Below are 18,852 nucleotides of genomic sequence, written 5' to 3'. Positions count from 1 at the left end.
AGCCCCATCTTCCTGGCTTTCTGGGTCAGGGACTCAGTCCATCCAGCCCTCCAGGGTAATGACAATGCCATTTCTGGTCTGGTCTTCCATGTTTCTGCCTTCAGAGACATTCTTCTTTCATTTTTGTCCCATCTCTGGACATTTCAGTCCAGGCTGGCAGCGTTTCTGCTAGTATAAAACTCTCAAAATCCTTGCCATGTTTTTGCAGATGCCAAGGGGATCCACACAACTAGATATGTAGGCTCTGTGTGGGTCCTTCCTGGATTAACCTATCTGGTTTCCTGGCTTAGGGCCAAGGTGGTTGGTTGGGTCCACATGCCTAGCTAGTCTCATTAGCAAATGGCTGTTCAGCCACACTTTTGGCCCTGTTTCCATAGTGCACTATCTGGGTAGACTGTGAATTTTCCAAATCATCAAGCGTGCTTCCTTTTGGCTTAACAGTTCCTTCCTCAACTTATCTCTTTACTCTCACGTTTTACTATAAAGAGACAAGGCCACACCTTCCAGAGTTTGCATGGAAATCTCCTAGCTAAATATCCAAGTTCGTCGCTTACAAGACCTGCTTTCTACACAATTCATTCAAGTTTTCTGACACTCTATCACAAGGGTCACCTTTCCTCCAGTGCTCATTAACATGTGTCTAATTTCCATCTCAGACGGCATCATAAGCAGCTTGAATATTCATATTTCTAGCATCATTCTGTTCATAATGATACACGTGTTCTCTAAGATGATAAGCACTTCCTCTACAACTCTTCTCACTTCCTTCTGGAGCTCTCACAAGAATCACCTTTAGCATTCATATTTCTACCAACGGTCTCTTCAAGGCAATCTAGGGTTTTCATATCATGTGCCTCAAGTCTTCCAGCCTCTAGTCATTACCCAATTACAAAGCCACTTCCATATTTTTAGGCATTTGTGACAGGAACAACCCACGTCTTAGCACTAAAATCTGCATTAGTTTCTTAGGGCTGCCATAACAAAATACCCAAACTGGGTGGCTAAAAGCAAGATAAATTTATTCTCACACAGTTCTGGGGGCTAGAAGTACAAAATCAAGATGTCAGCAGGGCCATGCTCCATCTGACGGAAGAAGCCTTTCTTAGCTCTCCTAGTTCCTGGTGGATGCTGGTACTCCTTGTCACTCCTTGGTTTGTAATGCCTTACTCCAGTCTCTGTCTCTGTCTCCACGCGACTCCCCTATGTGTCTGTGTCTCCTTGTCCAAATCTACCTCTATTTATAGGGACAGCAGTCATATTGGAGTTAGGGCCTACCCTGCCTGGTTCAATATGATCTCATCTTAATGTGACTGCGTCTGAAAAAACACTATTTCCAAATACGGCCACATTTACAGGTTCAGGGTGGACAGGAATTTGGCGGGGGCCACTATATGACTCAGTAAATGCCTCAATTTTTAAAAACCATAGAAGAGTATCCTACTTTCCATTCATTTCAGTGCATTTCATTAACTAATTTTTTCAGGTTCTAGATCCATTATATTTCAGACATAATAAGACATTTGTCAGTAAAGTCAATGAGATTATTTTTAAAGTCTCTATCATGAGGCTGGTAAAATTAGACACTGAAAGTTCAAAAAGGACAGTACGAGCAGTAAAAATTATAGTATATATAATTACAGATGCAAAACTTCTAAATTAATTATTACTAAACTTAACTAGTATATGTCTATTAAAAAAGCGTTCGTTCCAGGAATGAAAGGGTAGTGGAACATTAGAGAATCTATCAATTTACTTCTGATTACTTCAGGAATACTGAGTGCAAATGCTTTTTATGCTCCCACCAGAAAACCCCTAATAATGAAGTGGGGGGGGGCGGGGGGTGCAAAGCGGGACAAAAAATCAGAAGGTACCAGACAACGACACCACACCAAGAAAAATATGTTAGCAAAATTTTATAGGCTATAAAACAGACGTATAGGTCATAAGTCCTTAGAAGACCACAGAAACTAATCCAGCAAGAAACAAACTTCAGAACTCTGGTATTAGAGGTGATAAATATGGTCGAAGTCAGAGACTAGAAGATGTGGATACTTACCGGAGGATTCAAGGAAGGCATCATAGGAATGGCAATCAGCCCTACACTTTCCACCACCCTGAACAGCCAGGATTTCCACCCCAGGCTCAATGTGAACCCCAGTTTTCTTCACATCCTCATTCTTCTCTAGTATACCCTGTAAGAGCCACTGTACCACATCCTACAACAGTTTATTTTTACGTTCTGTGGGTGTCGAGGTGGGAGTATATTGGTGAATGTTCCTTTTAACAATTAAACTGCCAAATAAGAACATAATGATCTAGACCTCCTCTCATATTCCCTTCTCAATGACTGAGAAGTGATCCATGTTGGGAGAATCTCAGGACTGGTGGGCAGCTGATCAAGGAAGCAGGACAGAGGTGCATAAACAGGGTAAGAGTGGAAAACACTAGGCACGTGCCAGAACCCACCCAATGTTTTTAAACAGCTAAACCACTCTAAAGAGGACTGGAGAACCTGCTGCATGTGCCTGTGGCAAGTTTGGATCTTCTCTCTTTTCTTCTTTTTCAGAATTGTTCCGTTTCTCTGAAGGTAAAGCCCATGTTTAACCACTCAACTTCTGCTGACATAATTTGCAATGACCACAGCTAACTTATTGAAGCAGAGTACTATTAGGGCGCCAAGAGCTACCTTTGCTCTTGCCCCGCTTGACAGTAGATGCTGAAATTCACCCCCCACCCCCAAACCAATGATAAATCTGATTACCAAAGCATTCAATGCGCATTTGTAGACGTCTTCATGGGGACAAACGGGGGAGATTCAATGGCACGTGTCCCAGTGAAATGTCACCAAACAGTCTGCGTTAGACTATCTTGCCTCTCTTCCTCATACCCTCATGAGATGGATGGGCATCAGCTCCTGTTCTTCCTGAACAGTCTCATTCCCTTCAAATCTCTTTTCTCTGTGGAGCCATTTATCTCTGTGAGATTCTGATGACTGAATCCTCAGACTCATCACCCTGATCAGCACATCAAGGATCTTTATTCTTAACCCCCTTCTTTAGAATATAAAAGAGTTGTACATAATAATTGTTTTTCACTGTCACATTGATTTTTCTCACATCCTACTCAGAGCTTCCTACCGTAGGTCTTTGAGCCCAAGGTCCATAGTGTATCTTTTCAACAGACTTCTTTTTTTTTTTTTTTAATCCTTTAAGTTTTAGGGTACATGTGCACAACGTGCAGGTTTGTTACATATGTATACATGTGCCATGTTGGTGTGCTGCACCCATTAACTCGTCATTTAACATTAGGTATATCTCCTAATGCTATCCCTCCCCCGTCCCCCCACCCCACAACAGGGAGATACTTTTCTCTGCACTGTCTTTAAAGGTCACCCCTGGGTGCAGCTGTGTAGAGTCATATCCATGCTTGAAAGAAGAGCAAAAGAAAAGCAGAAAAATAAAAAGAAAAAATAATATGAGGCGAGAAAGCAATGAGGTATAAAAGAAAAGTACAATAGAGGCCGGGCATGGTAATCTCAGCACTTTGGGAGGCTGAGGCGGGCGGATCACGGGGTCAGGAGTTCGAGACCAGCCTGACCAACGTGGTGAAACTCCGTCTCTACTAAAAATACAAAAATTAGCCAGGCGTGGTGTCACGCGCAGGTAATCCCAGCTACTCAGGAAGCTGAGGCAGGAGAATCGCTTGAACCAGGGAGGCGGAGGTTGTAGTGAGCCAAGATGGCGCCACTGCACTCTAGCCTGGGTGACAGAGTGAGACTCTGTCTCAAAAAACAAAACAAAAAAAAAAAAACAAACAAAACTAAATATATATATATATATATATATATATATATATATATATATATGGAAAGAAAGAGAGAAAGAAAAGTACAATAGAGAGAATCAACAAAATCAACCAAACCAAAAGTTGGTTTCTGAAAAGACTGACGAAACAGCCAACGTTGGCAATACTGGTGAAGGGAGAAAGATGAAGAGCAGTGGACAGGAGGAGAGAGAGAGAGAACACAAAGGAACAATATTAAAAATTAACAAGCAGAATATGATTAGACATAAACAATAAACAAGATAATACCAAAAACAATTTCATACTGATATAAATTAATGCCTAGACAACGTAGAAATTTTGAAAGAGAAACATATCCTGCCTAAACTAACTATAGAAGAAATAGAAAACTTGACTAGACTTAACAACGATTAAAGAAATTACTGTGGACTACTCGAGGGGGCAGGGAGGGGATATGGGTTGAAAACCTATTTATTGGATACTATGCTCAAAACCTGGGTGATGGGATCCACACCCCAAACCTCAGCATCACACAATATTCCCATGTAACAAACCTGTATGTGTAACCATTCTATCTAAAAATAAAAGTTGACATTAAAAAAAATAGATCTTTAGTTCAAAAAAAAAAAAAACAACGTCAAGAAAACTACCAGGAACACGGGGAAAATTCCACTAAACATTCAAGGAGTAGATAATTAATTCCAAGTTCATACAAACTTCACCAAAGACCAAGATAAAAGCTTACACTCCCAAGTATATTTTATGAGGATAATCTTGACTCTAAAATGAGGTAAGTATAATAGGAGAAAGGAAATTTATAATTCAAGCTAAATGCTAAATTAAATACTGCAGACTTAAGTGACGCACAGAAATGATAATAAACCAGAACAAGTTTGGTGTATCACAGCAGTGTAAAAATGCCTTAACATTAGAAAGGAATGTTAATGTAAATCATCCCATTAATGGAAAGAAACAAGATTGGGCTATCATTTTAATGGACAGGGTAAAATCATTTGATAAAATCCAGTGCCTGTTCACGGAACACACAAAAACAAACCAAAACACAATTCTTGCCAAACTGGGAAAAAACAGATGGAAAACACATATCTACAAAATAATCTGCACCAACAGCTGTGCACACTGGTGAAGATTTACATGGATTGTCCTTAAAAATCAAGAACAGGACAAGGTTGCTCAATATTGTCATTTCTGCTCAACAGTGGCGGTTCTAGCCAGTGCAATAAATAAAAGATATAATGATTGGAATTAAAAACACCCAAACGATCATATCTATATAGACAATATATTATTTACCTGTATGGAAAAACCTGAGATAATCTACAAACTCTCAGCATTAATTACAGCTAAGAAGAAAATCAACTGTATTCCTACAAACCAGCAACAACCACTTAGAGGAAAAACAACTCTTCAATGAACACCAATTATAACTGCCACAAAATAGTAAGGTACATGGAAATAAGTCTAACAAAGATGCTTCAGACTTTAAATGAGAAAATTATCAAATGTTATCGAGAGCTATTAGTTCCAAATTAGGCAGATATAAAGCATGCTCATGGAAGAATCCCTATGATAAAGATGACGGTTTTCTCCACTTAACCTGTATATTTGACGTGATTCCAATAAAAAATCCAACACAGCTTTCTACGGAACAATAGACTCTATGACTCTAGAATGCATACTGAAGGACCAAGGGCGCTTAATATCCAAGAATATTAAAACAAAGTAGAGGGGATCAGAAGGGACATGGCTTACAAGATATCAAGTTTTAATAATTAAGATAGTTAAGATAGTTCACTTATATGACATCTAGGCCAATACAATTGATAGGATAGAGAGCCCATTAAATATAGGAAAACGTGGCATGAGAGGTTTGCCATTGAAGGTTAGCTGAAGAAAAGACAGGCTATTCAATATATAGTGCTGGATCCATTGGTTATACCCATTTTTTAGAGAGGAGATTGCTATCTCACTCCATACACAATATAAATTCCAGAAATTAAAAAAAAAAAAAGAAACCTTAGTGGAAAAAGAAGGAGGTGAAAGGTCTCTAAATGAAAAACAACAAAACACTGCTGAAAGAAATCATCAATGACAAAAACAAATGGAAGCACATCCCATGCTCATGGATGGGTGGAATCAATATGGTGAAAATGACCATACTGCCCAAAGCGATCTACAAATTCAATGCAATTCCAATCAAAGTACCATGATCATTCTTCACAGAACTAGAAAAAAAATATATCCTCAAATTCACGTGGAACCAAAAGAGAGCCCGCATAATCAACACAATACTAAGCAAAAAGAACAAATCAGGAGGCATCACATTACCTGGCTTCAAATTATACCACAAGGCTATAGTTACCAAAGCAGCATGGTACTGGCATAAAAACAGGTATGTAGACCAATGGAGCAGAATAAAGAACTCAGAAATGAAGCCAAATACTGACAGCCAACCGATCTTTGACAAAGCATACAAAAACATAAAGCGAGGAAAGGGCACCCTATTCAATAAACGGTGCTGGTAAAACTGGCAAGCCACATGCAGAAGAATGAAACTGGATCCTCATCTCTCACCTTATTACAAAAATCAACTCTCAAGATAGATCAAAGACTTAAATCTAAGACCTGAAACCACAAAAATTCTAGAAGATACCATCGAAAAACTCTTGCAGACATTGGCTTAGGTAATGAATTCATTCCTTTTTTTTTTATACTTTAAGTTTCAGGGTACATGTGCACAACGTGCAGGTTCGTTACATATGTATACATGTGCCATGTTGGTGTGCTGCACCCCTTAACTCGTCATTTAACATTAGGTATATCTCCTAATGCTATCCCTCCCCCGTCCCCCCACCCCACAACAGGCCCCGGTGTGTGATGTTCCCCTTCCTGTGTCCATGTGTTCTCATTGTTCAATTCCCACCTATGAGCGAGAACATGCGGTGTTTGGTTTTTTGTCCTTGCGATAGTTTGCTGAGAATGATGGTTTCCAGCTTCATCCATGTCCCTACAAAGGACATGAACTCATCCTTTTTTATGGCTGCATAGTATTCCATGGTGTATATGTGCCACATTTTCTTAATCCAGTCTATCATTGTTGGACGTTTGGGTTGGTTCCACGTCTTTGCTATTGTGAATAGTGCCGCAATAAACATACATGTGCATGTGTCTTTATAGCAGCATGATTTATAGTCCTTTGGGTATATACCCAGTAATGGGATGGCTGGGTCAAATGGTATTTCTAGTTCTAGATCCCTGAGGAATCGCCACACTGACTTCCACAATGGTTGAACTAGTTTACAGTCCCACCAACAGTGTAAAAGTGTTCCTATTTCTTCACATCCTCTCCAGCACCTGTTATTCCTGACTTTTTAATGATCGCCATTCTAACTGGTGTGAGATGGTATCTCATTGTGGTTTTGATTTGCATTTCTCTGATGGCCAGTGATGAGCATTTTTTCATGTGTCTTTTGGCTGCATAAATGTCTTCTTTTGAGAAGCGTCTGTTCATATCTTTCGCCCACTTGTTGATGGGGTTGTTTTGGCCATACTGCCCAAGGTAATTTATAGATTCAACGCCATCCCCATCGAGCTACCAATGACTTTCTTCACAGAATTGGAAAAAACTACTGTAAAGTTCATATGGAACCAAAAAAGAGCCCGCATCGCCAAGTCAATCCTAAGCCAAAAGAACAAAGCTGGAGGCATCACGCTACCTGACTTCAAACTGTACTACAAGGCTACAGTAACCAAAACAGCATGGTACTGGTACCAAAACAGAGATATAGACCAACGGAACACAACAGAGCCCTCAGAAATAATGCCACATATCTACAACTATCTGATCTCTCACAAACCTGACAAAAACAAGAAATGGGGAAAGGATTCCCTATTTTGGAAATGGTGCTGGGAAAACTGGCTAGCCATATGTAGAAAGCTGAAACTGGATTCCTTCCTTACACCTTATACAAAAATTAATTCAAGATGGATTGAAGACTTAAATGTTAGACCTAAAACTATAAAAACCCTAGAAGAAAACCTAGGCAATGCCATTCAGGACATAGGCATCGGCAAGGACTTCATGTCTAAAACACCAAAAGCAATGGCAACAAAAGCCAAAATTGACAAATGGGATCTAATTAAACTAAAGAGCTTCTGCACAGCAAAAGAAACTACCGTCAGAGTGAACAGGCAACCTACAGAATGGGAGGAAATTTTTGCAATCTACTCATCTGACAAAGGGCTAATATCCAGAATCTACAATGAACTCAAACAAATTTACAAGAACTCGTTCCTACGAACTCAAAAGCAAATGCACCAAAAACAAAAATAAGCAAGTGGATCCTAATTAAACTAAAAAGCTTCTGCACGGCAAAGGAAATACTCAGAAGAGTAAACAGACAACCCACAGAGTGGGAGAAAACATTCACAAACCCTGCATCCAACAAAGGACTAATATCCAGAATCTACAAGAAACTCAATAAAAATCGGCAAGAAAAAAGCAAAATCCCATCCAAAAGTGGGCAAAGGACATGAATAGACAATTCTCAAAAAAAAAAAAAAAAAAAGAAAAGAAAGATATACAACCAGCCAACAAACATATGAAAAAAAATGCTCACCGTCACTAATTATCAGGGACATGCTCATTAAAACCACAATGAGATACCACCTTACTCCGGCAAGAATGGCCATAATTAAAAAGTCAAAAAATAATAGATGTTGGAGTGGATGTGGTGAAAAGGGAACACTTTTACACTGCTGGTGGGAATGCAAACTAGTACAACCATTCTGGGAAACGGTATGGAGATTCCTTAGAGAACTAAAAGTAAAACTACCATTCGATCCAGCAATCCCCCTACCGGGTATCTACCCAAAAGAAGACAAGTCATTATATCAAAAAGACTCAAGCACATGCATGTTTATAGCAGCATATTTCACAATTGCAAAAATATGGAAGCAACCTTATTGCCCATCAATCAACGAGTGGATAAAGAAGATGTGGCATATATACACCACAGAATACTACTCAGCCATAAAGTGGAACGAAATAATGGCCTCTGCAGCAACTTGGATGGAGCTGAAAGCCACTACTGTAAGTGAAGTAACTCAGGAATGGAAATCCTAATATCGTATGCGCTCACTTATAAGTGGGAGCTAACCTATGAGGGTGCAAAGGCATAGGAATGACATGATGGACTTAGGGGACTCGGAGGGAAAGGTGGAAAGAGGGTGAGGGATAAAAGAAGACTATCTATTGGGTACAGTGTACACTGCTCAGGTTACGGGTGCACCAAAATCTCAGGAATCACCACTGAAGAACTTATCCACGTAATCAAAATCCACCTGTATGCCCCCAAACTATTGAAATTTTAAAAAATGTTAGAACAATTACGAGAGTGCCTAAGTTTATGTCCTCAGAGCAGGAAAGACTTTTTCGCAAAATTAACCACAACCCATGAACACAGGACATCTTTCCACTTATTTATGTCTTCTTTAATTTCTTCAAGCAGTGTTGTAGTTCTCAAGGTAAATGTCTTGATTACGTCTACTCCTGAGTATTCTATTCTTTTCGTGCTATTGTAAATGTAATTATTTTCTTAATTATTCTTGGACTGTTGATTGTCAGTGTACACAAATGCAACTGGTTATGGTGTGTTGATTTTCTATCTTGCAACTTTGACAAATTCATTTATTAGCCCTAACAGCTTTTTTTGTGGAATCTCTAGGGTTTTCTACATAGAAGATCATGTCGTCTGTGACAGGGGATAACTTCTTCTTTTCCATCTTAGATGCCTTCTATTTCTTACTCTTGCCTAATTACTCTGTCTAGAGCTTTCAATAGTATGTTGAGTTAGAAGTGACAAAAGCAGGCATCCTTGTCCTGTTCCCGATCTTAGGGGAAAACCTTTCAGTCTTTTCCATTGAGTATGACGTTAGCTATAGGTATTTCCATATATGGTTTATGTCACGCTAAGGAAGTATCCTTCTCTTCCTAATCTGTTGAGGGTTTTTATTATAAAACCATGTTGGATTTTGTTAGGTGCTTTTTCTGCATCAGTTGACATGGTGATGCGGTCTTTTATCATCAGTCTGTTAATATAGTGCATGGGTTTATTTTCATGTGTTGAATCATCTTTGCATTTCAGCAATTATTCCCATTCAGTCATGGGTGTGTAATCCTTTCAATATACTGCAAGGTTCTGCCTGCTAGCGTTTCATCTAGGATTCTGAACACTGGTATTCATAAGGGATATTGCTTTGTAGCTTTCTTGTTGTGGCTTTGGCAGACTTTGGTATCATGGTAACTAACATTGGCCTTATGGAATGAGTTAGGAAGTGTTCCCTCTTCTTCAATTTTTTGGAAGAGATTTAGAAGGAATGGTGGTAATTCTTCTTTAAATGTTTGGTAGAATTCACCAATGAAGTCATCTGGCCCAAGACTTGACTTTGTTGGAAGGTTTTGATTACTGATAATTCCTATTACTGATAACTCCTTACTATAACTAGTAAGGAGACTGTATCTCATAAGAGATATGTAGTCCTCAAGCAGTAGGCGATATATTCAAAGTTCTAAAAAAGGAGAAACCTGTCAAGCAGGAATTACATATCCAGCAAAACCATCCTTCAAAAATGAAGGGGAAAATTAACACATTCTCAGATTTAAAAATTACTGAAGGCTTTGGGGCAAAGATGGCTGACCAGATGCAGACAGGAAGAACTCCTCCCAATAAGAGACCCGATCATCAAGAAGACCAGCACATTCCAAACAGATCTTTGGAAAGAAGGCATTGAAAATGGATGGAGGAAGGACACAGACCCTGAGCTGAAAGGGGAGGAAGCTGGGAACCCTGCATCAGGTTGCTGAGGACCAGGACTCATTTTGGGGCCTGAGTGACTCCTGGGGAAGGGGCGAGTAAAACAAGCATAGAGTGGCTCATTCTCGCCATGGACCTCTGGAATCCAAGCTGCAGGAGACCCCATGACCCCCACAGACATTTGAGATTGCAGGGAGAATTGCCGGGAGAGCTGGCAGAGATAGAAATCTTGCCTGCATGGAGTCCAGAGGGTTTAGCATGGGAAAAGCTGCACTGAAGCATGGCCATGGGCACCCAACCCCAAGCCTCACCACACTCCTCTCTGTGGCTTTAGTGTTTGCTGGCTGCTGGACCTGGACGCAGCAGGGCAATCTTGGCCATGGGATAGGGTCAGTCTGATCTGAGTGTCCCGCTGTCTGCTGGCCTATCCCAGCGTCCCTGCCTGGCCACACCCGCTTGCAGCGCAGCCTCAGCTTCCCAGATGAGGCATTTGCCAGCAGCCACCACCATAGCTCTTTCACTGGCAGACGCTGCCTAGCAGTTGGGGATCTTCTGCAGGTGGTCCCCTGCAGACAAGTGCACCCTCCCGCAGCCCTCCTCCACCGATGCACTCTCACTCATAGCCTTCCTGCACTGCTTCGCTGGTGAGCCCATGCATTTGGGGGCCCTTGCTGCCCTACCGCTGCCCCACGGAAGTACTTTGGCCGGAACATCCCATCAGAGTGCTGTTGCCAGCGGAATGGGAACACCTCAGCCCCTCCAGAAGAGCAGGCAGTAAACCTTCAGAGTCCAGAAAAAAAAAAAAAAACAAAAACAAACAAACAAAAAAAACCATGGACACGTCCCAGCCCCCAGGGGTAGAGCATGCAGCCCAGGAGCGCTGAGCTGTGTCTTGGTTCCCCAAAATCATCCAGAAATGAAGCCAATTGACTAAATTGACTTATACCACATCAAAACCTCAAGTTCATCAAAGAATGTAAAAGCAAAAAGGCCCATCCACAGGACAGCAACCTCAAACATTAAAGGAACGTCAGCCCACACAGATGAGGAAGAACCAGCCCAAGAACTCTGTTAATGCTAAAAGCCAGAGTGTCTTCTTGTCTCCAAATGGCCACACTAGCTCTGCAGTAATGGTTCTTAACCAGACCTATGTGGCTGAAATGATAGACATAAAATTTAGAATCTGGATGGCAACAAAGATCATTGAGATTCACGAGAAAGTTGACATGGCAGCCAAGGAATATAAGGAATCCAATAAAACAATACAAGAGGTGAAAGATTAAATGGCCATTTTAAGAAAGAACCAAACTGACCTGCTTGAGCTAAAAAACTCACTACAAGAATTTCATAATACAATCAGAAGTATTAACAGCAGGCTAGAACAACCTGAGGAAATAATCTCAGATCCTGATGTCCAGTTGTTTGAATCAGATCAATCAGACTAAAACAAGGAAAAAAAGAATTAACAAAAATGAACAAAACCTCCAAGAAATATGAGATTATGTGAAGAGACCAAACCTATGACTCATTGGTGTCCCACAAAGAGAGGGAGAGAGCAAGCAACTTGGAAAACATATTTGAGGATATTGCCCACAGACATTTCCCCAACCTCGCTAGACAGGTAGAGAGGCAAATTCAGGAGAGTCAGATAACCCCAGTGAGATGCTACAGAAGATGACCATCCCCAAGATGCATAGTCATAAGATTCTCCAAGGTCAAGGTGAAAGGAAAACCACTAAAAGCAGCCAGAGAGAAGGGGCAGGTCACATACAAAGGGAACCCCATCAGGCTAACAGCAAACCTTTCAGCAGAACTCTTACAAGTCAGAAGAGATTGGGAGCCAATAGTCAGCATCCTTAAAGAAAAGAAATTCCAACTGGGAATTTCATATCTAACCAAACTAGGCTTCATAAGAAAAGCAGAAATAAAATCCTTTTCAGACAAGCAAATGCTAAGGGAACTCATTGCCCCCAGATCTGCATTACCAGAGGTCCTTAAGGGAGCGCTAAACATGGAAACAAAAGGTCGTTGCCTGTCACCACAGAAACACACTTAAGTACACAGCCCACTGACACTACCAAGCAACTATATAATCACGTCTACATAACAACCAGCTAACGGCACAGTGACAGGATCAAATCCTCACATATCAATATTAACCTTGAATGTAAATGGGCTAAACGCCCCCACTTAAAAGGCAGAGAGTGGCAAGTTGGATAAAGAAGCAAGACCCAACTGCATGCCGTCTTTAAGAGACCCATCTCACATGCAATGACACCCATCATAGGCTCAAAGTAAAGGGATGGAGAAAGATCTATCAAGCAAATGGAAAACAGAAAAGAGCAGAGGTTGCTGTTCTTATTTCAGACGAAACAGACTTTAAACCCACAATGATCAGAAAGGACAAAGAAGGGCACTGCATAATGATAAAGGGTTCAATTCAACAAGAAGACTTAACTATCCTTAATATATATGCACCCAACACTGGAGCACGCAGATTCACAAAACAATCACTTAGAGACCTACAAAGAAACTTAAATAACCACACAATCATAGTGGGAGGCTTCAACACCCCACTGACAGTGCTAGATCACTGGGGCAGAAAACTAACAAAGATATTCGGGACATAAACTCAACACTTGACAGAATTGACCTAACAGATATCCACAGAACATCGCACGAAACAACAACACAATATACATTCTTCTCATCTGCACAGGGCACATACTCTAAGGTCGACCACATGCTCAGCCATAAAGCAATTCTCAAAAAATTCAGAAACAAACCCGGAATCATACCAGCCACACTCTCAGACCGCAGTGCAATAAAAATAGACATCTGTAGCAGGAAGATCTCTCAGAGGCAAACAATTATATATAGATCTTTCAAAACCAATCAATTATATTATAAGGTCGACTACATGTTTGGCCGTAAAGCAATTCTCAAAAAATTCAAAAACAAACCTGAAATCATTACCAGCCACACTCTCGGACCACAGTGCAATGAAAATAGAGATTAATACCAAGAAGATGTCTCAAAACCAAACAATTGTATGGAAATTAAACAACCTGCTCCTGAATGACTTTTGAGTAAAGAGCAAAATTTGGGCAGAATTCAAAAAAATTCTTTGAAGCTATTGAAAACAAAGGTACAACATACCAGAATCTCTGGGGGCACAGCTAAAACAGTGTTAAGAGGAAAGTTTATGGTGCTAAGTGCCTACATGGAAAAAGTCAGACAGATCTCACATTAGCAATCTAACATCGCACCTAGAGGAACTAGAGAAACAAGAGCAAAGTGACCCCAGAGCTAGCAGAAGAAAAGAAATAACAAATATTAGAGCTGAACTGAAAGAAGTTGAGATGTGAACCACCCTACAAAAGGTCAAAGAAACCAAAGGAACCAAAGGTCCTTTGAAAAAATAAATAAGCTCGACAAACTGCTAGCTAGACAAACAAGGAAAAGAAAGAAAGAGAGAGAAGGCCCAAATAAACACCATCAGAAATGACAAAGGTGACATTACTGCGGACCCCACAGAAATGCAGCAACAACAACAAAAATCCTCAGCGACTATTATGAACACCTGTATGCACATAATCTAGAAAACCCAGAGGAAATCGATAAATTCCTGGGAGCATACAACCTCCCAAGATTGAACCAGGATGAAACTGAATCCCTGGACAGACCAATAACGAGTTTCAAACTTGAATCAGTAATAAAAAAGACCTACCAACCAAAGGCCTGGACCAGACGGATTCACAGTCCAATTCTATCAGACACAGAAAGAAGAGCTGTAACCAATCCCTAATGAAACTATTCCAAAAATTTGAGGAACTGGGACTCCTCTCTAACTCATTGTACGAGGCCAGCATCATTCTGATTCCCAAACCTGACGGAGACACAGTGAAAATACAACACTTCAGGCCAATATTCCTGATGAACCTAGATGCAAAAATCCTCACCAAAATACCAGCAAATTGATTCCAGCAGTACATCAAAAAACTAATCCATCACGATCAAGTAGGCCCTACTCCTGGGATGCAAGGTTGGTTCAACATGTGCAAATCAATAAATGTGATTCATCACATAAACGCAACTAAAAACGAAAACCACATATCATCTCAATAGATGCAGAAGAGGTTTTCAACGAAATTCAACATCCCTTCATGTCAAAAACCCTCAACAAACTGGGCATCAGAGAAGCATACCTCAAAATAATAAGAGTCATCTAGGACAAACCCACAGCCAACATCCTACTCAAAGGCCAAAACCTGGAAGCATTCTCCCTGAGAACCAAAACATAGTCCTGAATTACCGACGCCACCCCTCCCCCACCCCTGGCCACAGCAGCATGGTGTGGAGAGCATCTCTGGGTGCAGGGGGAGGGAGACCACAGCATTTGTGAAGCAATGACCTCAGTGCTATCCTGTTAGAGCAGAAAGGAAAACCGGACCAAACTCAGCTCATGCCCCCCCAACAGAGGGAGCATTTAAAGCAGCCCTAGCCAGAGGGGAATCACTGATCCCAGTGATCAGAACTTGAGTTCCCACAAACCTCACCATGGCAGGCTACAGCACTCTGTGTCTCCAAGTAAATTTGAAAGGCAGACTAGGCCATAAGAACTGCAACTCTGGCCGGGCGTGGTGGCTCACGGCTGTAATCCCAGCACTCTGGGAGGCTGAGGCGGGAGGATCACGAGGTCAGGAGATCGAGACCATCCTGGCTAACACGGTGGAACCCCGTCTCTACTAAAAATACAAAAAAAAAAAAAAAATTAGCCGGGCGTGGTGGCGGGCACCTGTAGTCCCAGCTACTCAGGAGGCTGAGGCAGGAGAATGGCGTGAACCCGGGAGGCGGAGCTTACAGTGAGCTGAGATCGTGCCACTGCACTCCAGCCTGGGCAACAGAGCGAGACTCCATCTCAAAAAAACAAACAAAAAAAAGAACTGCAACTCTTAGGTGAGTCCTGGTGTTGAATTAGGCCCAGAGACAGTGGACCAGGGGTCGGGGGAGGGGGGGGGTCACACGACATACTGAGATACCAGCTGGGGCAGCCAAGGGAGTGCTGGCATCACCCGTCCCCTAACCCCAGGCTGCACACCTTGTGGCTCCGAAGGAGACCCCTTCCTTCCACTTGAGGAGGGGAGAAAGAAAACAGTGGTGAAGACTGTGTCTTGCATCTGGGATACCAGCCCAGCCATAGCAAGATAGGGCACCAGTCAGAGTCACGTGGCCCCTGTTCCAGGACCTAGCTACTAGAGGACATTCCTAGACACGTCCTGGGCCAGAAGGGAACCCACTGCCTTGAAGGAAAGGACCTAGTCCTGGCAGCACTCACCACCTGCAAACTGAAGAGCCCCTGGGCCCTGAATAACCAGCAGTGATGCCCAGGCACTACATCGAGGGCCTTGGGTGAACCTCTGAGACTTGTTGGCTTCAGGTGAGACTTGGTACATAACCAGCAAGTGGTGGCTATGGGGCAAAACTCCTTCAGTTTGAGAAAAGCAGAGGGAAAAGTAAAGGGGACTTCGTTTTGCATCTTAGGTACCAGTATGGCCATAGTGGGGTAGAGCATCAAGCAGACCCTTGGAGTCCCCAGTTCCAGGACTGGACTCTTGGACTGCATTTCTGGACCTGCCCTGAGCCACAGGGGAGCCCACTGCCCCGAAGGGTGAGTCCCAGGCCAGGCAGCATTCACGACAGCTGACTTACGAGACCTTGAGCCTTAAGGGAACATTGGCAGTAGTCTGCCAGTACTGCTCGGGGCCTAGGGTGGCGGTGGCTACAGTGTGAGGCTCTTGTACCTTTGGGAAGGGGAGGGAAGAGTGGGAAAGACTGCGTCCTGTGGTTTGAGTGACAGCTCAGCCACAATACTTAGAACCACAGGTAGCCTTCTAAGGTTTTTGATGCTAGTCCCTGATTCCCAGATGGCACTTCTGGACCCACCTGGGGCTTGGGGGACCTCTCTCCAATGAAGGGAAAAACAGTCCTAGCTGGCTTTGCCACTTGCTTATTGTAGAGCCCCAGGGCCTTGAGCAAACAAAGGCAGTAGCCAAGGAGTAATTACAGCAGGCCTTGGGGGAGACCCAGTGCTGTGCTGGCTTCAGGTCTGACCCAGTGCAGTCATAGTAGTGGTGGCCGCATAGTGGTGGCTGCAGGGGTGCTTGTGTCATTCCACCCTCAGCTTTAGGTGGCTCAGAACAGAGACAGAGAGAGAGAGAGAGACTCTGTATGTTTGGGAGAAAGTAAGGAAAGGGAACAAGAGTCTCTGCCTGGTAATCCAGAGAATTCTCCCGGACCTCGTCCAAGACCATCAAGGTGGTGCCCTCTATGAGTCTACAAGAACCACAGCGTTACTGAGCTTGGGGTGCCCCCTGAAGCAGACACAGCTTAGATCCAAACACCCAGGTCCTCTGAAATATTTGAAAAGCCTTCTGACGAAGGACGGCTACAAATAAGCCCAGACAGTGAAGACTACAATTAATACCTAACAGTTCACATACTCAGAAACTGAAGAAAAAAATATTCGCATCAGCACCATCCAGGAAAACACGACCTCACCAAATAAGCTAAATAAGGTACCAGGAACCAATCTTGGAGACAGAGAGGTATGTGACCTTTCAGACAGGGAATTCAAAACAACTTTGTTGAGGAAACTCAAAGAAATTCAGGATAATGCAGAGTAGGAATTCAGAATTCTATCAGATGCATTTAACAAAGAGACTGAAATAATCTGAAAGAATCAAGCAGAAATTCTGGAGCTGAAAAATGCAACTGGCATACTGAAGAATGTATCAGAGTCCTTCGATAGCAGAACTGATCAAGCAGAAAGAAAGAATTAGTGAGCCTGCAGACAGGCTATTTGAAAATACACAGTCAGAGGAGACAAAAGAAAAAATACACAAAAATGAAGCATGCCTACAGGACCTAGAAAACAGCCTCGAAGGGGGAAATCTAAGAGTTATTAGGCTTAAAGAGGAGGGAGATGAAGAGATAGGAGTATAAAGTTTATTCAAAGAGATAATTACAGAGAACTTCCCAAACTTAGAGAAAGATATCAATATCCAAGTATAAGAAGGTTACAGAACACCAAGCAGATTTAATCCAAAGAAGACTACTTCAAGGCATTTAATATTCAAACTCCCAAAGAACAAGGATAAAGAAAGGATGCTGAAAGCAGCAAGAGAAAAGAAACAAGTAATTTACAATGGCGCTCCAAATGTCTGGCAGCAGACTTTTCAGTGGAAACCTTACAGGCCAGGAGAGGGTGGTATGACATATTTAAAATGCTGAAGGAAAACAAACAAACAAAAAAACAAAAAACGCTTTTACCCTAAAATAGTATATACCCTAGAAGATATCCTTCAAACATGAAGGAGAAATAAAGACCTTCCCAGACAAATAAAAGCTGAGAGATTTCATCAATACCAGACCTATCCTACAAGAAATGCTGAGGGGTGTACTTCAATCAGAAAGAAAAGGACGTTAATGAGCAATAAATTATCACCCGAAGGTACAAAAGTCACTGGTAATAGTAAGGACACAGAAGAACACAGAATACAATGACGCTGTAACTGTGGTGTACAAACTCGTGTTACCCTAAGTAGAAAGACTAAACGATGAACCAATAAAAATTAATAACTAGAACAACTTTTTGAGACATAGTCAATGCAATGATATAGAAATAGAAACAACAAAATATTAAAACGTGGGGGGATGAAGTTAAGGCACAGAGTTTTCATTAGTTTTCTTTTTGCTTGCTTGCTTTATGTTTGTTTGTTTGTGCAAATAGTGTTCAGTTGCTATCAGGTTAAAATAATGGGTTATAAGATAGTATTATTGAGCCTCATGGTAACCTCAAACCAAAAAAAAAAAAAAAAATACAATGGATACACAAAAAATAAAAAGCAAGAAACTAAATCTTATCACCAGAGAAAACCACTTTCACTAGAGGAAGACAAGAAGGAAAGAAAGAATGAAGAGAAGATCACAAAACAACCAGAAAACAAATAACAAAATGGCAGGACTACGTCCTTACATGTCAACCGTAACATTGGATGCAAATTGGAAAAACTCTCCCATCAAAAGTCACAGACTGGCTGAATGGGTGAAGAAACAAGGCTCATTGATCTCTTGCCTAGAAGAAACACACTTCACCTATAAAGCACACACAGGCTAAAAATAAAGGGATGGAAAAAGATACCCCATGCCA

At 41.7% G+C, this 18,852-nt stretch overlaps 1 protein-coding gene across 1 annotated transcript in view; it reads right to left on the bottom strand.

Moving 5' to 3' along the window:
• NXF2 (nuclear RNA export factor 2) overlaps positions 1 to 18,852 on the bottom strand; it is a 79,556-nt gene that overhangs the window by 29,333 nt on the left and 31,371 nt on the right. The gene's annotated exons all lie outside the window — the stretch shown is intronic.

This window comes from Homo sapiens, chromosome X (assembly GCF_000001405.40).
Source record: "Homo sapiens chromosome X, GRCh38.p14 Primary Assembly".
NCBI classification, from domain to species: Eukaryota; Metazoa; Chordata; class Mammalia; order Primates; family Hominidae; genus Homo; species Homo sapiens.
Note: the sequence above shows the minus strand (reverse complement) of the source record. Positions and strands in the feature narration are given on the sequence as shown.